The 22,896-nt window shown below is 38.5% G+C and overlaps 2 long non-coding RNA genes and 1 pseudogene across 3 annotated transcripts in view; all 3 read right to left on the minus strand.

Moving 5' to 3' along the window:
* LINC02945 (long intergenic non-protein coding RNA 2945) overlaps positions 1 to 3,887 on the minus strand; it is a 308,805-nt gene extending 304,918 nt beyond the window's left edge. For both annotated transcript variants that reach the window (NR_186682.1, NR_186681.1), the window contains exon 1: positions 3,806 to 3,887. This is a non-coding gene — a long non-coding RNA (long intergenic non-protein coding RNA 2945). The remainder of the gene's footprint in view (positions 1 to 3,805) is intronic.
* On the minus strand, positions 8,107 to 8,601 carry RPS12P8 (ribosomal protein S12 pseudogene 8; annotated as a pseudogene).
* LOC105377370 (uncharacterized) lies at positions 12,465 to 22,694 on the minus strand. The gene is made up of 3 exons (XR_939078.2): positions 22,613 to 22,694; positions 20,078 to 20,292; positions 12,465 to 12,535 (listed from the first exon to the last, which is right to left on the minus strand). It is a non-coding gene; the product is annotated as an uncharacterized LOC105377370 (long non-coding RNA).
* Positions 22,695 to 22,896: the final 202 nt, after the last annotated feature.

Genomic DNA, 22,896 nt, shown 5'->3' on the forward strand with positions numbered 1-22,896 from the left:
CTATAATAAAAACTGTCTAGGCCAAGCATGTGACTCACACCTGTAATCTCAGCATTATGGGAGGCCGAAGTGCATGGATCATCTGAGGTCAGGAGTTCGAGACCAGCCTGACCAATATGGTGAAACCCCATCTCTACTAAAAATACAAAACTTAGCCAGGCATGGTGGTGCGTACCTGTAGTCCCAGCTACTGGGGAGGCTGAGGCACAAGAATCACTTGAACCTGGGAGGGGGAGCTTGCAGTAAGCCGAGATCGTGCAACTATACTCCAGCCTGGGCGACAGAGTGAGACTTCAACTCAAAAAAAAAAAAAAAAAAAAAACTGTCTAGCACTACCATTGGCTACTTTCTAAGATGGTGAGTTTACTCTTACTGAAAAGAGTTTTGAAGACTCATTCAAGGATGTTATAGAGAAATTACTAAATCAAAGAAGAAATTACGCTGGCTGTCCCTAAAGTCACCTTTCCGTTACATGATCTTATAAAAATGTAGACACCTGAGACTCAGTTATATTCTCTCATGAACTGCATAATAAATGAAGGACAAAAGGGGCACACAATGAAAACTTTAATGATGCTATATTTTAGTAAGCCTTCACAGAAGAAGAAACCTCCAGAAAAAAAAAAAAGAGCATTCTGAATAAGACACAAGCTAGTTGTTTATCATAGCATCTCACTTACCTTCCACTTAGATAAGCTAGGTCTTTACTTAATCCTATGGCCACAGATGCTCATGAAAATATTTCTAAAAAAGCGTTTTATGAAATTAGATGTACCTGCCTGATGCTTTATATCAATATTGAAATAAGAAAGCTCATAGGAAGATTTCTTTCATATGGTTAGCCTTATGACATTTTCACACAAACCTGTCTACAGGTCAATCTGAAATATGGTTCCTTTTATTATAACCTATTCAAACAAAGATTTTATCCTTGAATAAATAATAGAAATGTCAAAAGAAGGTTTTCTGTGCCTGACCCAATGCGCAACTAGGTTGCATTTCCCAGCTGTCCATCTTCCTGCTATTTTCTTTGGCAATGCTGCTGAGCAAGAAAACTTGTCTACAGACTGGGAATTCCTAAGACTCTCATATATAGGGAACTCCTACAAATTAGTAAGAAAAAAATCAGACACCCCAGTAGAAAAATGGACAAATCTCCATGTGAGGACACAAAGAAAGCACCATCTATGAGAAACAGGCCCTCTCCAGACACCAAATCTGCCGGCACCTTGATCTTAGACTTTCTAGCCTCCAGAACTGTGAGTCATACTTTTCTATTGTTTATAAATTACACAGTCCAACGTATTCTGTTATAGCAGCCCAAAGGAACTAAGACAATTGGTAAGAGCTAATACCTGGAAACTACATATGCTGGTTTTCTAGTTACTGTTTCTCAGCTCCAAAACTGTCATTCTGTACTCTGCTTTGTAAGGTTGAGGCTGGAATTCTGCAACCATATTTCTACTTTGCCAGACAAATCTATGTTAGGTTCTACCAAGGGAGGTGCTAAAGAGAGACTGGAAGGGTTGCAGAGGGAGAAGGAACTAGATTCCTTCCTGTTTTGCTTTCTGTTTCTGTCAGCATCATTACAACAATGGTTCTTCACTCTGGCATTGGCAATTGGTTGTGGTGTTCAGTTTTTCCCACACTCTCACAGCCAGTCTCCTCATCCCACTCAGAGGAATCTGTACCATCTGGGATCCTCAGGGACCCCCTTTACAAGGTCCCAAGGCATCAGCACCCCCTGAGCCACAACCCCTCTTCAGAGATCTTGATTCCATCTCCACAGAACTTCTCCTCTAAACTTCTAGGTTCTAATGATCTTTTCCCCTTTGTCCACAAGCCTTACAGGTGCTTCCTGCAGTTATTGTCTTTGTATTATCTTAGTGTTTCCTTTTCCCTTTTCAGTCCTCCAACACCTATTTAGCCAATTCTTTATATTAATTTTTTTCTTTAAAATAATTGGTACGTTTATAGTCCATCAACAGTAGAATAAAGTATAAAATATTCTCAATGTGGAATAATATACAAAAATGAGAATAAATGATCTACTATGCCTAATGACATGGATAACTCTCATAAACAATGATGAGCGAAAAGAAGCCAAACACAAAAACAGTATATAATGTATGATTTTCTTAATATAAAATATAAAAACAGGTAAAACTGATGTACAATGTTTAGAAGTCAAGACAGTTACTCTTGTTGGGGAAGGTGGGAGGGTTGGTTAGTGGCTTCAGTGCTCAGGAGGGCTTCTGCAATGCTGATAATATTCTGTGTCTTGGTCTGGATTTCATGACACAGAAGTGTCCAGTTTGTGAAAATTCATTCAGTTTTGCAAGTACAATTTGATTGATTTTCTGTTTATCATACTACCAAAAAATATTTAAATAATAATGCAGCAGCTATAAGTTGTAAACTAATGTTTGCAGTCAAACTGGATATTGACAGTAACTTTACATCATAAAAACATTTTTATAAATTCAAAAAAGTGAAAGAATCATGAGTAATTTATATTTTAAAAAATTAAAATGTTTTAAAAATAAAATATTATACAAAAATAAGCACAGTACTTTCTCTTAGCACTCTTTTACTTAGTGCCTCACATTTGTTTTTACACTCATGTCATTTCTTTTATAAACTATAATGTGCCAACTAAAACATGTCAAACCTGTAGTGCACCCAAGCTAGTTTTATCACCACAGTTTTATAAGGATATGAGAAAACTGGAGATAATTTAAGAAATAAATCATAAATTTATTCTTGAAAACCTGTCAACACTTTGGTTCTTGATTCCTATCTTCCCTTTCAGAATATAGGCCCTAATATCTACTAAAAATCTACAGTATGCTTTTTATCCACTTTAATTTTAGCTTTTAATATTCTTTTCCAATACTCCACCTGCTTGACTGTACTCGGTACTTCTTCAGTCTCCCAGATGCATTCACTCTATTGTACTGGACTGTTTTGAGGTTTGTTTGTTTTTGTGTTTTCCTATGGCAATTCATTCTGGATACCATAATATCATTGCAGGCCAGATTTTCCCACAGCGTTTCCATACTGGACTGAACTGTTTTTGTGGGCTTTTTGTTGTTTGTTTTTTTTTTTTTTCTGTGGCAATTCCTCCTGGATACCATGATCTGATTGCAGGCCAGATTTTCCCACAGCATTTCCTGAAGGGTCATCCATTCAGTACCTTCCCTGTGACCATTTCCAAGTCCTGGCCCTTCCTGATCTTCCAGGTCCTGCCCTCTCATGTGATTTAAAAAAAAACAAAAAAACAAAAAAAAACTTCCAGAATAGAATGTTCACAAATTGAACACACCTGTAAAATAGGAAGCCAGATCAAGATACAGAATATTACCAGTGCACATGATGGGGTAGTTCACACAAAGACTGCATGAGAATCTATGAAAATTATTTATTCATTCAATAGATATTTACAGTGTGTCTACAATACCAGTCACTCTTCCAGGTCCTAATGCTACCCTGGAAATTCATAAGACCAAATTTTCAGTTCTGACTCTGCTACTTTCTAACTATTTGATCTTGAATACATTACTTAACCTTTCTGAGCATCAATTTCTTTATACATAAAAATGCAGTAAAACATTTCTAAAATGTCGTAATCACCAAAGGAAAATCAAAAAAGCCTTATGGAGAAAATACAGGTTGTGGTGAGAAAGGCACAGACAATTCTAGTTAGCACAGTTAATTGAACATTGTATTAGCCTGTTCTCATGCTGCTATAAATAACTTCCTGAATCTGGGTAATTTATAAAGAAAAGAGGTTTAACTGACTCACAGTTCTGCATGGCTGGGGAGGCCTCAGGAAACCTACAATCATGGCGGAAGGCACGTCTTCAGAGGGTGGCAGCAGAATGAGTGCCGGCAGGGGAAACGCCAGACACTTATAAAACCATCAAATCTCGTGAGAACTCACTCACTATCACGAGAACAGCACAGGGGAAACCACCCCCATGATTCAATTACATCCCACCAGGTCCCTCCCATGACATGTGGGGATTGTTACAATTCAAGGTGAGATTTGGTGGGGACACAGCCAAACCAGATCGAACATCTATTTCTTCTGTTTTCACAAATCCCACAAAAATGGAGAAAAAAGGAGAAGGGTTAAAAGGCGGTAAAGTACATGAAAAAAAGATAAATGGACAATAGCAGGTGAGAAATATCTCAACAAATTTAGTGGAAAAGAAGATGGAGCAGAAGTAATTAATTTAGCAGTGTAACCTCAGGGTCCACAGAGGGAGAAACTAGTAAAGCTAGCCAATGTGTTATCTGGAGGCTTGGGGCTAGAACAGCAGAGTTCCTATGGGAAGTAGGGGTGAGGCTCAAGCTGAAATCAGGGCCTAGTTGAAAGACTGTACAGTCTGTTTGTTTATGAAGCAGCTGGAAGTCTAGGCCCCTTTCCCACTTCACCTCACCCATCAAGGACCAGAAATTCACTCAGAGAAACCCTGAACTCCTGAAACCAAACATAGTGTGGCAGATGGAAGACTGAAAATAGGGGGTGGGGGATTAAGTGAAAATCTGGATGCTGAAACTAAGACTTTCAGCTGCTTTTTCTACTCTACATTCAGAACAATAGCAGCCAGACTTACACACCGACTCTGTCACATTTGCCCCTCCATCCCCAATTCATATTTAAGTACATTGAAAGGATTCTTGAGAAGCGTGTGACAGAGATATCATAAGATCTGGAAAATCAGCAAGAAGATCTTAGCAAACTTGGCAAATGAAAAGGGAGAATTATTAACTGCAGGGAAAAGTATTATATGAGAAAGAGGTGTGGTGTAGTGCACAACATGGCTAAACATTGCGTAACATTTGCACAGTCATGATAATGTAAACACTGAGTATTGGTTTAGCCAAAAATGCTAATGTAACTACATCAGGGGATAGGGGAAGGAAACTGATGGAACACAGGAGTTTTCTAGGTATTATTGTTTGGCCTTCAACATACATTCGCACTCTTTCCACATACCCCCTTAATTACAAAGGCTGGGAAGCTAAAAATGACCACATTTCCCAAAAGGTCCTGCAGCTACAGTTCTGGACACAATTTAAGTTCTCTCATAAGATGCACTCATTTGAGATTTGGAAGGCAGAAGTGAGGCAAAGGCCATTTTCTTGTGACTGAGGCAGCTGGTAAACAAGATTAGACAGATAAGAATGTTTGCAGTAGGCCAGGCACAGTGGCTCACGCCTGTAATCCCAGCACTTTGAGAGGCTGAGGCAGATGGATCACCTGAGCTCAGGAGTTTGAGACCAGCTTGTCTAACTTGATGAAACCCCGTCTCTACTACTAAAAATACAAAATTAGCCAGTCATGGTGGTAGGTGCCTGTAATCCCATCTACTCAGGAGGCTGAAGCAGGAGAATCGCTTGAACCCAGGAGGTGGAGGTTGCACTCCATTCTGGGTGGCAGAGCAAGATGCAGTCTTTAAAAAAAAAAAAGAAGAAGAAGAAGAAGAATGTTTGCAGTAGGCAGACTTCACATCCTAATGTGTCTTCATGGATGTGGGGCATTAGCAGAGGTGACAACAGCAGCCACCTGACCTCTGTATCAACCCTACTCTACATGGTATGCCACTGAACCCAATAGTCCTGCAACAGCCTTTGCCTCCCACTCAGTTTTTCCCTGCCCCATCCCCTACTCCCAACAATTTAGTAATCACTGCACTGAATTGGTAATTCCCTGTACTGAATTACTAGAATGGTTGCATTTCCCCAAATTAAACACACACTAATACAGGGGAAAAAAACTAAGTCCCAAATGACAAATTGAGAAGTTGCAATATGAGGACATTATTTAGAAATCTAGAATTTCAGGAAAATTAGCTAGCAGAGTGGGGGTGATAAACCTTGGAGAGCAGGTCTGGGAATAGATAGAAGTTAAAGTAACTTATAAATTATACCGCAGATATCCTAAAAGCATAACTTGAATCTGACTTCATCAATACAATCTTATTGCTGTAAGATTAAGAATAATATCACCAGAGGGTAGTTTTAAACACACATACATATGCCGATTCTCTTCTTCAAAAGCTCTTCTTGGGCCTTGCATGGGGGCTCACACCTGTAGTCCCAACACTTTAGGAGGCTAAGGCAGGAGGATCCTTTTAGCCCAGCAGTTCAAGATCAGCCTGGGCAACATAGGGAGACCCCCATGTCTACAAAACACAAAAAAATTAGCCAGGCATGGTGGTGTGCACCTGTGGTCTCAGCTAGTTGGTAGGCTGAGGTGGGAGGATCTCTTGAGCCCTAGAGTTTAGGCTGCAGTGGGCTGTGATTGCACCACTATACTCCAGCCTGGGCAACAGAGCAAGACCCTATCTCAAAAAAAAAAGAAAAGTTTTTCTTGTGTCAGGTTTATAGTATTAGCATAGCCTAAGGAAGAAGTATATTCAAGCCTTTCATTGAATTCCAAAAAAAAATCAGTATATATTAATACAAACAGAACATTTTGATGCTTTCTTTTAAACCCATATATTCAGGCAGTCTAACTCTGTCCCAGATTTCTAAGAAGTATCAGGAAGCCTAAGTCTCTGTGATTACTTTTGGCTCTGCTTCTACTAATGACCATTTAGCATTTGCTAACTCTCGTCAGCCTGAATAGATTCACACAAGGAGCTCATCTCCTGTTCTTGCATTCTCCATCTACCTCTTAACCACAATGGGAAAGACTGATGCACATCCTTTTACACAAGCTTTCCAGAGAAGCTGACTTTGCTGAAGTTTGGGGACGGTGGAGAGAATTTACTTCAGAGAAACAGAAATATCTATAAAATAACATTTTAATTTGCTGTTTCTACAAAGTCTTGTAATCATTTCTGTAACCTGGCCGACAAACTCCTGCCCTGCTGTTCAGGTGTCTAGCTGTTCTGCCTCCTGGGCTCCATCTCTCATAGAATAAAAAAGTCATATTTTCTTTTTCTTTCTTTCTTTTTTCTTTTTTTTGAGATGGAGTCTGGCTCTGTCACCCAGGCTGGAGTGCAGTGGCATGATCTTGGCTCACTGCAACCTCTGCCTCCCAGGTTCAAGCAATTCTCTTGCCTCAGCCTCCTGAGTACCTGGGACTACAGGCACCTGCTACCATGCCCAGCTAATTTTTGTATTTTTAGTAGAGATGGAGTTTCACCATGTTGGCCAGGCTAGTCTCGAACACCTGGCCTCAAATGATCTGTTTACCTTGGCCTCCCAAAGGCTGGGATTACAGGCATGAGCCACCACACCTGGGGCCCCTTAAAAAGTCCTATTTTCTTACACAGAAAGATTGAAGTCACTGCAACCTTCTTCAAACCCATCTCAAGGCCTCCCAGTACAGAGTTGAAGAGCCAGAATAAACTTTGAAATTATGGCTGCCGGGTCAGCCACAGCACATTTTCAGAACACAGCCAAATCTTTCCCCATTTTTAGTCACAAGGTAGATTGTAAGGAGAGAGGCGTTAATTCAAATTGCATGAAGAATGACTTCCTGATTATCAGAACAATCAAATAATAAAAGCAGTGCCCAGAGAAAATTATAATGTGCCACAGTTGAAAATAATGCCAAAAGGTAAATAACAATCTACCTAGATAAAGTACGTAGAATAAGATTATATTTTAAAAATCCAAAGTCATCCTTGATAATAAATTTCTTACTTTGTGTGTGTGTGCATGCATTTCCATGTGTTTTTATTTAGTTATGTTTTTATATCATTAAAACTTTTTCCACTTTGGCAAGCATATTACTGGTAATGTCTCCCAATTTTCTTTGTGATCGTTAATTTCCACATAAGCAGTCATCAAATTGTAACATAACTCTAAAATCTTTTCATTCAGTAGGTTAGATTCTAAAACTGAGGAAAAGATTAAATATCTTGTTCCTTAGAAAAGTATGCATATTCAATGTTTCTGACCCACTCATCGAAGTTTGAAGAGTGCAGATGAAAGAAGCTGAAAAGGTTAAACCCCTGAATGCTTATTACTTTTACTTATTAATGAGAAATACATAAGTGAATTTGTGACTTTCACGCTGTTTGAAACAGCCTTATTAAAGAGCCATAATTTGTGTGTGTGTGTGCGTGTGCATGTTGGTATGCACCAAAGTTTTATGTGTTCATTTCTTGCATTTGAAGTACTCTTTGATGACATCCTTGGCCTGACACTCCTTGCCAGCGTCCTTAACTTCTACACAACTGCCACCAACCACTTTACAACCACTTTCCCCTCTCTGTCAGTTTCGCAGAGGCCTGCTTATTGCTCTAGTTTCTTGTCATCAACCTTAAGTCGGTTGGTTCGGTGTTCAGCGCAAAAGGCCTCCACCAACTTGACATACACAGGCTCATCACAGTTGGATGCAAGCACACAAAGATGGGCTTGGCACTTGTCTAAGGCTTTGGCAGCTTCAAGAATTCCACATGCTGGGCCATCATGGACGAGGGCGGTCTTCAGCACTTCTTGTAAAGCAGTATTAACTTCCATTATACCTCCAGCAGTAATGCCTTCCTCGGCCATGGCTGTGGCTTACCTGTGAGGCTGAATCTTAAATGCACCTGGGCCTCAACTTCCACGCGACTAGGTGGTGGCAGGGTAAGAAATGGCATAATTTACATATCTTGAAATTTGTTCAACGTAAGTATACAATGATTTCTTGTAAATTTATGGAGTTGTGTAGCAACCACTATTCACTTAAAAATATTTTCATCACTCCAAAAAAGTCCCTGGTGGCTATTTGCAATCACTTACATTCTTACTCTCAGGTCCAGGCAAAAATTGATTTTTTTTTTTTGTCACTATAAGTTTGCCGTTTTCTTAAGGTTTCTTGTAAATGAAATTATACAAGATAGTCTTCTATGTCTGGCTTCTTTCACTTAACATAATGTTTTAGGGTTCATCCATGTTGTAGCATGTATCAATAGCCATTTTTTTATTGCTGAATAGTATTCCACTGTGTAGATAATATCTCACATTTTATTTATCCACTCATTAGTTTATGAACATCTGGATTGTTTCCATCTGGCTATTACACATAATGAACATTCATGTGCAAATTTTGTGTGGGTACATGTTTCCAGTTCTCTCGGATATATATCTAGGAGTGGAATTTCTGGATTAAAGATTCTATATTTACCTTTTTGAGGAACTGCCAAACTGTTTTCCATAGTGCTTGCACTATTTTTGCATTCCCAACCAGCAACGTATGAAATTTCCAATTTCTACACACATCTTAGCAAAAACTTGATATTATCAGTCTTTTTATTATAGCCATTTTAGTAGGTATGTAATAATAGCATGTAGTTTTATTTTGCATTTCCCTAATGATTAATGGTGTTAAGCATTTCTTCTTGAGATTATTAGCCATTTTGTATTTTCTTTGTTAAATGTTTATTCAGATTGGGTGTCATGGTCCACGCCTGTAATCCCAGCACTTTGGGAGGCCAAGGTGGGTGGATCACCTGAGCTCAGGAATTCCAGATCAGCCTGGCTAACATGGTGAAACCTCATCTCTACTAAAAAATACAAAAATTAGCCAGGTGTGGTGGCACATGCCTGTAGTCCCAGCTACTCCAGAGGCTGAGGCAGGAGAATCGCTTGAACCCAGGAGGCAGAGGTTGCTGTGAGCTGAGATTGTGCCACTGCACTCCAGCCTGGGCAACAGAGTAAGACTCTGTTCCAAAAAAAAAGTCTATACGTATCTTTTGCCTCTCTCTCTATATATATACATACATATATATATACACACACATATATATACACATACACACACACACACACACACACATATATATTTGTTTCATTTTGTTTTGTTTTTTGTTTTTTTTTTTAAGAGACATGAGGTCTTGCTCTGTTACCCAGGCTGATCTCAAACTCCTGGGCCCCAGCAATTCTCCCACCTTAGCCTCCCAAAGTGCTGGGATTACAGGCATGAGCTACCACACCCAGCTCTTTTCCCTATTTTTTAGTTGGATAGTTTATCTTCTAGTTATTGAGTTATAAATATCCCTTATGTAGTCTGGATGCAAATAGTTTACCAGATATAGTACTTGCAAATATGTTCTTCCAATTTGTGGCTTGTCTTTTTATTTTTTTAAGACTCTCAGGTTTTGAAATCAGAAAAAAATATAATGGGCTCAATATTATGTGAAAAATTATACTTAATCTCCTAATAATTTTATTCTTTTAAATCTTTAAACACAATACAGACAGAATTTGGAAACTGGAATTACAATTTACTTCCTAGAGGATGAATTATAACACAGGAAAAGCCTTTTATTATAATATATTTTGACATGAGATTAGTGGTTTACAGCTAACTGGCTGAGGAAGAAGAGTCCTGATTTGTAGCATTTTCAATTTCCATGGTATAAATACTCCCCCAGGGACAATTTTAAGGCACTAATGGTTTAACAACCAACTCAAAAAGTTTCTGAACATTTAGCTCTTGACCCTAGAGAGCCAGAAAGAACCAGCTCTAGCATACTACTAAAAATCCATGATTGAAGTGGTAGTAAAAGTCTTAAAGATAAACAAAAGAAGAAGGAAGGGAAGGGATGGGGGAAGGGGGAAGGGAAAAGGAAAGGGAAGGGAAGGGAAGAGGAAAGGGAAGGGAAGGGAGAAGGAAACAGGAGAGGAGGGGAGGGGACGGGAGAGGAGAGGGGAGGGAAGAGGGGAGGAGAGGGGAGAGGAGAGGGGAGAGGGGAGGGGAGGGTAGAGGAGAGGAGGGGAGGAGAGGGGAGGAGAGGGGAGGGGAGAGAAGAGAGGGGAGGGGAGGGGAGGGGAGAGGAGAGGAGAGGAGAGGAGGAAAGAGAGAAGAGAGAAGAGAGAAAAGAAGAGGACACCTGCTTTGGAGGAATTTGCAGATTACCAAGAAAGATATCACTGATCCTTTACATGAAAATGAAAGGAAAATTAGTTTTTAAAAAACCAAGTCAACAGATTATAAAAACACATAAATAAGAAGCTCTACAAAGAATGAAAATGAAAATAAAATCATTCTCTGGAGCAGAAAATGGAAACTATTTTATAACTGTGGTATCACTATCACTAATCCAGGAAACCCACTGAAGGGACTGTGGTGACTATAAGGAGTTCGTTCCATGTTGTTTGTGTGGTGCTGACCGTTCCCATTCACCTCCGGCAGCTAACACACAAGTCTGGCCTATCCCCCTTAAACCTAATATTGGTTCAAGAAAGAGCACATGGACCAATCCCTCCAAAGCCCTCCCTGGAGCTTTTTCTGGAAGAAACAAGAGATCAGTAGGCATTAAGATTATGTAGGCCTGGAGTTGCAGTCTACTCAAGTGATGACTCACTCTTCCCCCACTATTTAGCAGCCATGGGTTTTGGGAGGTGTATTAGTCCATTTTTATGCTGCTGATAAAGACATACCTGAGACTGGGCAATTTACAAAAAAGACATGTAATGGACATACAGTTCCACATGGCTGGGGAAGCCTCACAATCATAGCAGAAGGCAAGGAGGAGCAAGTCACGTCTTACATGGATGGCGGCAGGCAAAAAAGAGAGCTTGTGTAAGGAAACTCCCATTTTTAAAACCATCAGACCTTGTGAGACTCATTCACTACCATGAGAACAGTGCAGGAAAGACCTGCCCCCATAATTCAATCACCTCCCACCGGGTTCCTCCTGTGACATGTGGGAATTGTGGGAGTTGCAATTCAAGATGAGATTTGGGTGGGGACACAGCCAAACATATCATAAGGCATTAAAAAACAATTATACTATCTCCTTCTACAGTGCAAGTCACTCCCCCTAGCTACAGTGATTGGTCCAGAAGTAAGCTAATCAAGGCAAACCACAAGCCTTTCAATCAACCCTTCAGGAACTACATGTTCTCTTCCCCAGGAAATGACCCCCTGGCCTAGCCTGAGGATAAACATAACACATGGGGGATGGCAAGGCCCACAGAATCCCAGAGAAAGATTGATGAGGCCACTCTTGAAGATGGTTCTACATCTTCACTATTTAATTCGCAAACAAATAAATCTCTTTTGTTTAGCCAGTTTAAATTCCATTTTATACTGCAACAAAAGCATTCTATTGGGTTCAATAATCTTTCTACCCTTGTTTTTTTGGTTGTTGTTAACTCTTCTGTCATTTGACAGTGTCAAAACTTTGTAATTTTGTGCTCTTGGCCTTCAACTGTTCACGCATCTTCTTTCTTTTTGTTTTGTTTTTTTTTTTTTTTTTTTTGGCAGGTGGGGTGAGGTGATGGAGTCTTGCTCTGTCACCCAGGCTGGAGTGCAGTGGTGCAATCTAGGCTCACTTCAACCTCCACCTCTCAGATTCAAGCAATTCTCCCACCTCAGCCTCCTGAGTAGCTGGGGTTACAGGCATGCACAATCAGTCCCTACCAATTTTTGTATTTTTAGTAGAGACAGGGTTTCACTGTGTTGGCCAGGCTGCTCTCAAACTCCTGACCTCAAGTGATCCACCTGCCTTGGCCTCCCAAAGTGCTGAGATTACAGGCATGTCACTTGTCTTCTGATCTTTAAAGTCCTCCAGCATATCTGTGGAAGCAAGCATGGAAGGACATGGATGAGAACATGCTGCTATCGATCCACAGTCATCTGTCCTTTCTTCATCAACAATCTGTTTTCATGCAGGCCTGCTCGACCCAGTTTTGGAGTGTTTATCTTTACTCCAACCTTGCCCACCAGCAGAACATTGTATCTGTCAATTACCCCTGATTCCTTATGGAGAACTATGGCACCCTGGGCAAAGAACACCCTGTCTTAAAGCCCAACCCAGGCTCCTGGGACTTGTCCAGACTGAGGTCTTAGCACATACCTATTAAGAGAAAGAATCAAATAGCTGCAACATGACTTTCTACTGATTCTCCTGGCTTTTGTGACCATTCCATTTCAGTTCTTTTCAAAAGCTCTATTGGCAATATCTGCTCCTTAAACATTAGCAATTCCCCAGGTTTAAGTGCCACATAGTAATTCCAGTTTTAATTAAATCCACAGAAATTGAGTGTTCTGTCCAAAATCAGGCTTGGAATTCAACTTTCTAAAGTCCAGGAGAGGATTCAGTTAATTTCTACATCTGGCAGAACAATCTTTAATAGCCTTAATTGGATAAACATCTTGGAAAAGTTTATATTTGTTCCTGGGGGTGATGTTTTTCTTTTTCTTTTTTTTTGTAAAGACAGGGTCTTGCTATGTTACTCAGACCAGTCTTGAACTCCTGGGCTCAAGCCATCCTCCCACTTCAGTCTCTCAAAGTTCTAAGTTTACAGACATGAGCTCCAACCATGCTGAGCCTGGATGTGATGTTTTTAGGCAGAATATTGACATATAAATACATTCTGAATGAAGAATCCAAAAGGCATTATTAGGTGGGGAAAGTAAAGGGACTAAGGATATTCTCTCTTGAGAAGAAAATTCTTAGGAGAGAGCAGACAGCTGTCTCAAATATCTAAATGTCTGGACTGTATAAAAGAAACTGGATTTAGGCCAGGTGCGGTGGCTCACGCCTGTAATCCCAGCACTTTGGGAGGCCAAGGCAGGTGGAACACCTGAGGTCAGAAGTTCAAGACCAGCCTGGCCAACATGGTGAAACCCCGTCTCTACTAAAAATACAAGCAGGGTGTAGTGGCGGGCACTTGTAATCCCTGAGGCAGGAGAATCGCTTGAACCCAGGAGGCGGAGGTTGCAGTGAGCCAAGATTGTGCCATTGACCTCCAGCTTGGGTAACAAAGGGAGACTGTCTCCAAAAAAAAAAAGAAAGAAACTAGATTTATTTCATGCTCCTCATGAGGAGGATTGGGAGCAAGGATCGAAAGCAGCAATCAACTCAATTTGGATTAAATGTATAATAAATAAGATTTTTCTTCCTTCTTCTTTTTTTTTGTTTTGTTTTGGTTTTTTTCAGACAGATTCTTGCTCTCTTGCCCAGGCTGGAGTGCAGTGGCATGATCATGGTCCGCAGCAGCCTCAACCTCCTGAGCTCAAGCAGCCTTCCCACCTCAACTTCCTTAATAACTGGGTCCACAGGTACACACCACCATGCCCAGCTAATTTATTTATTTATTTTTATTTTTATTTTTTATAGAGATGGAGTCTTGCTGTGTTGCCCAGGCTGGTCTTGAACTCCGGTGCTCAAGGGATCCTCCCACCTCAGCTTCCCAAAGTGCTGGGATTACAAGCAAGAGCCACTGTGCCTGGCCTTGAGATTTTTCAATAATTTGAATTGTTCCCAAATATAACAGATTGATTTGTGAGGTGGTGAACTCACGTCTGTAAAAAATGTCAAGCAGCATTTAGATGCCAACCTATCAGGGATGCTAGAGATACACACTTCCAACTGGAAGTGGCTTTTAAGATCCCAGATATTTTTTAAATTCTAGAATGTGTCTCAAATGAAATGCAATTTGTAAAATCCTAACTGGCGCTTCTCAAACTTTAGTGTGCATAAAATCACCTAGAAAACTGGTTAAAACACACATTCAGGGCCCCACCCCTCAGATATTCTGATTCATTAAGTCTGAGGTGAGCCCCAAAATTTGCTTTTCTAATAAGCTCGCAAATGATGCTGATTCTGTTGGTCCAGGAACTATGCTTTGAATAGCCCTGCAAATCGTAATTTTTTATTCGATATTTGTAAAGAGATGAAAGAAAATTAAAAGGCTTGGCAAGCAAAAAGAAATGAAAAGTAATGTGTACTCGGTGTTCATATAGGAAATAAAACAGTGTAATGACTACTTCGAAGGAAAAAAATTCTTCCAAAACGTAGGCCACATCTACCCAACAGTATGCAAACATTTGGAGAGGAAATTAATTGGTACATATGGCTGTAGGTGTTCATTTCTAACTAAACTAAACAGTCCATCAAAGCCTTTCTTTCAGACATTTAATTAAGTAATTCTGAGGAGATTATGTCATTTAAATATTTCTTGTCTGGGGGTCAGGGACCCACTTAGGTTCAGGTATCTCTTCTGCTCATCTCTAAATCCTTGTTTAGCAACTCCACCCAGACCATTAACAAAATCCAGGGTAAGCTTGTCAGTTAGGAGTAAAGGAGAGCTGTTTGGGACAAATAGTATAATTCAGTTTGTAAATGTCTTTACCCTTGAAGTGGAGATCTGGGCAATCATCTTAAAACGATAAGCTCCCTAATGGCAAGTTCAAAGGAAATCTTTATCCATCCCTCAAGGCTCATCTTAAATTGCACTCCCTCATTAATTCTTTCCTGATTCCATCAACAGACTGTAAGCACCAAATCCTTATCTCACTGGCAGATCTCTTAAGATATAACCTACTAATTCCGAACTGTAATGTTATTTGTTGTATTAGTGTGGATCCAATCACACAGTGGGTTACATAGAAGAAGTATAATATAAAGAATTATTAAACTCTGATAAATGAATATACAGAAAAAAGGACAGTAAAGGAAAACTATAAGGAACCCTAGGGCTGAATAAGAGTATCAAGGAAGAACAAAGTTGTAAGGGGGCCCCCTCCCCAGACCTGGGGTTCAGACCTCATTGGAGAAGGTATAGTTTAGCCTGATAACTGAAACAGAAAAGTTCACTGGTTTGCATTAGCCCGAGCTGGTCTGGGGTCACTAGGAGAGCAGGAAGCATCCCTCCAGAGTGCAGCCAGAGCTCAGCAGATCAGAAGCCAGATGCATGGTTATACACAGGTGGTGGGAATCCAGGGAGCAGGCAAGCCACAGAGCCCAAATAAAGAGTAATGTCTCAGGGGAAAACTCTCAGGCTGTTGACAATCCACATGCAGGCTTGCACAGGGAATTGGGGCATTCATGTGTTCAGGAAGACTTTGGGACACCAGTTTCCATGCCAAGGGGTCCATGGGAAGCTTATTGCCAGGATAGGCTGAAACTACAAGGTTACCTAGTGACTGCATATTCTAGGAATGTGGCCAAAACAGAGTTCCACCAAATGTCTTCAAACCCACTCCACCAACTTGCCATGAGCAGCCAGAAACAGCAGGAGACATCTTTCCAACAGCCTCTACTAAGAAAACTTAGCATTATGCTCACTGTAAGGAGGAGACACTTAAAAGAATTCTGCCTATTATCAAAGGGCATATATTGTGGAGTGAATCTGGAGCTGAGAGGCAATAAACTGATGGTTGACATGTATGTGTTATTACAAGATTGTTGATTCTTTTAGGATTAAAGACTGGATTTCATCTCTGTAGTCTCCGTGGTACCTAGGTCGTCTTATAACAAACTATTCCTCAGTAAATATTGAGAACTCCTGGCTTTTTTTTTTTCAGAAACTGATAAGCTGATCCTAAAATTTATATGGAAATGTAATGGACCCAACATAGCCAAAGCAACATTTGAAAAAACAAAGTTTGAGGACTTGCATTTTCTGACATCAAAACTTACTACAAAGCTACATTAATCAAGACAATATGGGACTGGCATAAGGGTAGAAATATAGATAAGTAGAAAAGAACGGAGATCCCAGGAATAAATCATTAAATTTATGGTTAATTGATTTTTTAACATAGGTGCCAAGACAGTTCAATGGAGGAGGAATATATTTTCAACAAATAATGCCAGAACAACTCTCTACCCATATGCAAAAGAATGAATTTGAACCCCTATATCATACCATACACAAAAATTCAGGCTAAATGGATCATATATCTAAATGGAAGAGTGAAAACTATAAAACTCTTAGAAGAAGAGATTGGAGTAAATCTTTATGACTTTACATTAGGCAGTGGTACCTTAGCTATAACATCAAAATTCAAAATCTTTGTGCCTTAAAGGACATCATCAAGAATATAAAATGACAGCCCACAAATGAGAGAAAATATTTATATATCTGATAAGGGATTTATATCCAGTGCTTCTACAAATCAATAGTTTAAAAATAAAATTACCCAATTTTTAAAATAAGCAAAGGATTTGAATTGATATTCTCCAAAGAAGATATATAAATTATCAATAAGCACATAAAAAGAGGCTCCAAATCGTTAGTCATTAGGGAAATGTATGTCAAAACCTCAGTGACTTACCACTTCATACCTATAGGATGGCTATAATAATAAAAAAAAAACACTAACAATTTTTAAAGGAAAATATGGAAAAGTTGGAACCCTCATGCATTGCTGGTGGGAATGTAAAATAGTAAAGTCACTTTGCAAAACAGCCTCGTAGTTTCTCAAAATGTTGACCATAGCATTACCATATGACCCACCAACTCTACCCTTAGGCAGATACACCAAGAGAATCAGAAAGCTTATGTTGACATAAAAATTTATACGTGACTATTTATAGCAGTATTAGTCACAATAGGCAAAAAGTGAAAACCACTCAAATGTCCATTAACTGATGAATGGCCAAACAAACTGTTGTGTATCCATATACTGGAATACTTTTTTATATGACCATTAAAATAAATTAAGTACAGATACATAGTACGACATGGATAAATCTTGAAAACATTATTGTAAGTGAAAAAAGCCACACACAAAAGGCTACATATTGTATAATTCCATCTATATCAAATGTTCAAAATAGGCAAATCCATAAAAACAGAGCAGAATAGTGGTTGCCAGGGACTGGGGAAAAGGGGGAAAATGGTGAATGACTCCCGGTGGATATGGGGTTTTGAGAGAGAGAGATAAAAATATTCTGGAAATAGAAGTAGCCAAGCATGGGGGCTCACACCTGTAATCCCAACACTTTGGGAGGGTGAGGCAGGTGCATCACTTGAGTACAGGAGTTCGAGACCAGCTTGTGCTACATGGCAAAACCCCCATCTCTACAAAAAGTCAAAAAATTAGCTGGGCATGGTGTCATGCACCTATAGTCCTAGCTACCAAGAAGGCTGAGATGGAAGGATCATTTGAGCCCAGGAGGTTGAGGCTGCAGCAAGATGTGATCACACCACTGTACTACGCCTGGACAACAAAGTGAGACCTTGTCTCAAAAAAAAAAAAAAGAGGTAATGAATGATATCTGAACAATATAGTGCACATACTAAAAATTATTGAACTGTGCACTCTACAAGGGCATTTTACAGTATGTACTCAGTTCTGAATTATATCTGAACTAAACTGTTAGTTAAAACATTGAGAACTAAGATTTTGATATTTGCTTCCATTTTCTTCTTCCCTTCCCAAGTATGTAGTCACATCCAGAGAACCTGTATAGAAAAGAATAAAACCTTCTTTTCTTGGAACAATTAGAACAAATAGAAAATTGGAATGTAATAATCATTGATGTCAAGTTTCATATATCCTTATAAAAATACCTAATTATAATTTTTGGTTGTCATGAATTTTGAAAACTCATTAAAATAAGTGACACAGATGCTACGGCACTAAATAACCAATGGAGTAGAAGACTTGACCAAGCCACCTCGTCTCTCCCTGGGCTTCCAAGTCCTCAACTATGAAATAGGAAAGTTAGGAGAGATGACCTTCAGTATCTGTATGCTTCTATTATTTGTTCTAGAAAATTAGCTTTAAAATCAAAATTTCAAAGACCTTCAATGTTTACAAATTAAATACATAGTAATAAGAATTATTTTCTGCCAGAGACAGTTCTTATTAACTGTGGGTGCAACTGTATATTCTGCTTTTCTTTTTCTCTTGATAGAGCTCATGTCTTTTTATCACTAGGTTAAAATATATAATTCTGTGTGTGTAGAAAATATCATTATATTTGAATTTTTACATGTTCTTTGAAGGAATTCTTTACCCACTTAACAATTTAGGCCTTCTAATTCTATACATACTTGTACATACTTTGATTACAGAGATTTCATTTTTCTCCACGTAAAGTTAAAATACAGGCAGCTAAAAAAAGCCTGTGCTATTTCTGCCAGCCCTCTCCTGGGACTCTGCTCCCTAGTTAGGCAGTTATTTAAAATTGAGCGATTATACTGTCTTTTTCTGATAGTTACAATTTTTAAAACTTAACTTTTCTTTAAAAAAAAAAACAGAGAATAAAGCAAACTGCATTCAACTGGTCAGTGTGCTCCCTGGAAACCCAGCAGATACTTTTCTGTCTATATTTGGATTTAAGTGTATATTTAGACTCTTTATCCCAGAGAGCTCAGTGATTTGCACTCTGAAAGCATGTGCTCTTCTGTTAGTCATTTTAAGAAACTTTTTTTTTGCCTTCCCACTTTAAAAAAAAAAGGATGAAGGGCAAAGAAAAAAAGGAAACAAAAAGAAAAGAAAGAAAGAATTTGATTAAAGCAGAAAGAAAGAATTTGATTAAAGCAGGAAGAAAGAATAACAAGAAAAAACCATGGCAAATCAAGTTCCTCAAGTCTGTTCTATCCATTCATCTGCTCTCTACAAGAGGAGATCCTGTTGTTCATGGCCTGTTCACCAAAGCCCACCCTGCTTCTCCTCTGTGTACCCACGGCATGTTACTTAATGCTTACTTTTATTCTGCTGTGCATTATATTAGTTACTTAAATGTCTGTGTCCCTGACTAGAACTGGATTTCCTTGAGTACTGAGTCAGACTGCCACTGAGTCACACTGAATACAAATCTAGTCATTTCTCGAATTAAAACTCTCTATAGTCTCCTAAAATGCGGAGGGATGTATACTCCTTGAACAGTCCCTTGTACAATGATTTCATAAAGTAGGATCTCAATACAATGTGTTGAATTAAATTTGCTTGTGAGATCATTCAGTGTAAACCATATGAAATGTTCATTTCCTCAGGTCAAAAACTGGCAAGAATTCTATTACTCTGGCATAAAGGAATTTCAGACACCCGCTGTTTGGTGTTGCCTTCCCCCTTCCTTGTAAATGAGCTCTCTTATCATGCACCTCACATTCAAGGGATTTTGTCAACATTTCATATGGCTCATTGTAATAATTTTCACTGAAGAGTTTTAAATTTATAGAGGTATATTAATTGTAAAAGGACTATTTGAAATTAATTTCTTTCTGTCTCTTACAGATTTGATAATAAGGAGCACAACAGGGGCCAGGAATTTGTTTATAGAACATAAAGGGAGCAATAGTTTTTAGTCTTTTAGGGTGAATCTGACAGAAAACATGGACACACTTCCCAGAAAAATGCTCACATGTACACTCTCACCATTTTGCATATGATTCCAGCAGATTAGTAGATCCTTTCATCTCCTCCAATCAATTAATAACTTCTCTTGTAGAAGACTATATTCAGAAGATGAAAGAAGTGTTGAGCAATGGTTCAGTAATTCCAGCTGAACTTCAGTTTTAGAACAAGAAAAAAAGTAGTCTCTTTTCGAATCGACCCAGTCCACAATTCACCAGATGGTTGCCTCTCTTTGCCTATATAAACACAGTTAAACAGGAAATGCACATAATATATTACCCAAATTGAGACACTATTGAGGGTGAAAGAGGTACTGACAATAATTACAGCAAGACAACAAAACTATGATCCATATAACTATGATCTATATATATCATTAAATATTTGGAGAGTTTATTTTTTAAATGTATCAGATCCCTATTGTCTAGATGACTGTCCCATTTTTCTGCTTTCCTTAAGGGGCTAATACCCATTATCATAATTAGCCCATAAAAAGCAATGATCAAATTCATGGCTTTTTCTTCCTTTTGTACTTCAACTTGGAGTAAGTCAGTTAAACTTTACAGGGCTCAGCCTCCTACCAATAAATGCACAGGTGGAATACATGTGCTCTTAAGGTTTTTTTCAAGCTCCACCGTCCTATACATTCAATTTGAAAATGAAGATTTTTTATCAGAAATCTGCTAGGTAAAAAGGTTTCTAGGCCACCTACTTAGAAAAAAAGACCTTCAAAATCACAGTGTTTTTGTAAAAAGCAAATAAACTTAATTGATTAAAAGTCCCTAATAGTTTATAATCAAGCTTATAATCTACAATATAGTCTGTAACTTTGAAGTGTAAATGTAACTATGTTAATTAATCAGATTATGTATTTTTTCATGTAATTACCACAATAAGGTAGATACCTTAGTCTCATTCTACAGACAAGAAAAACAAACTTAGAAACTTGACTGAGGTTACACTGATGATAAATGACAAAATCAAAGTTAAAAGCCCATCTGACTGCACAGCTTGGACACTTCACTGCTGAACTTAAAGCTCATGAATTTACCAAGTACCACCCCTGCTTTAAACTTAGCTATCAGTCTACTATAGCCCCAACATATTCAAAAATACCATATTTCCTAGACATTATAAAAGCTATCTCTTACACAATCACTTAATTGCCTATCACAGTAAGTGATAATGGTCACACTCTGGGTTTAAATAGAGCAGAAAAGTGTATTCAATATTTGTTAGTACATATTAAAAATACCAAGTCGGCTGAGACCAATTATCTAAGGAACAGTTCATAATGAACCACCCTCAAATATGAAACAGCTCTAATTGTGAGAGCTATGACTCCATCTGAAATAATTTTTTAAATGACAACCCCAAAACTATACTCTGCATTTTTACATGTGATACATAAAAACCAGCTGCTATCAAGACTTTTTAAATCTTAAAATATAATTTTTAATATGTATATATAAAACATGTATATGTAAAACTGTCAATTGCTCTCAGCATTGAGAAGATACATTAGCACAACATATGGCTACCACTACTGCTACTTTAAAAGACACTACCTTATGTTATATAAATACTACCTTGGAGACAGTCATAGGCCTTTATGGATTTTTAAACCTAACTAATGTTAGGTTTAAATGTTTTAACCTTGAAACCTAATATTTTAAGTTAGCACACAAGATTATAATGCAGATTTTCCTTGAGATATATGGAAAAGTTAAGCAAAACTTGGAAAAGGATATTTCATTAAATAACCAAAGTGAACCACTTCACCAACTTAAATAATAATTACTGAAGACTGTGCCATTCTATATGTTCAGGACTACGCAGCGACAGGTTAACAAACAATCCTAGGGTTTCTACCTGAAATTGCCCTCCTGTCCTTACATGAAGCAGCTAATTTTCTGGGACAAGGCAGAATGAAGATGTTCTTTCAGAATATAAATCCTTGAAGACCATAAAGATGTTCCATTAACTTATTTTGACATTTTCTCAACTCCAAAACATGTATTCTTTTTGTAAATGCTGTATCGTTTCAATTAAATTTTAAGCACCTGTGAGCAAGGAGAATCTAAACAAATATGCTTTGCTAGCTAGCAAAAAAAAGCAAAAATAATAATAGTGGAAGATGGAAATGTTAAATTCGTCAATATTTTTGGTGATCTGAAAACTATACACCTTAGGAAATTATCTAGAAAATAACATGTATTTTGTCGCTTTCATCTAGAATGTAACTTCACATCACATAAATCATAATACTAATGAAAATTATAACAAATTCATTTTCCTCCCCCACAATAAAAGTAGTATAAACTTCCACTGAGAGATCATTGGATTTAAATCAAATTGCATAATCAAAATTAAAAACAATAAACACTTGCACAAAAATGTGTCTCATGGAAAACCGAAACTGGAGATAAATTGTCTTGTAAAATGCATTAAAATACAAGTCCAAAACCACAGGCAATCTTTAACACAAGCCTGAAATCCTATTAAATCAAAGGCAAAACTTGAAGGTCATTTTAGCACCACCATTCAAAAACTTACACCGGCTGGGTACAGGAAAAACAGAGGGAGGTTTCTTCAAAACCACCTACACAGTGGCTGTTTTCCTGCTCCCAGGTCTGTCAGTGGAGACCAGCTTCCTGCTCAAGCACAAGGAGCACACGGTGCATATGGAAAACCGTGGAGTCAGCCAAATTCCCACCCACACCAGCTCCTCTCCTCAGCCGGGCCCTTACAAGCCACAGAAACTGATCAACTCAATGTGATGGAAAGAAGAAACCCAGGACACATTTCTTTTGTAAATGGAAATATTTAGGTACATTGCA

The sequence above is a fragment of the Homo sapiens genome, chromosome 4, assembly GCF_000001405.40.
Source record: "Homo sapiens chromosome 4, GRCh38.p14 Primary Assembly".
Classification (NCBI taxonomy): domain Eukaryota; kingdom Metazoa; phylum Chordata; class Mammalia; order Primates; family Hominidae; genus Homo; species Homo sapiens.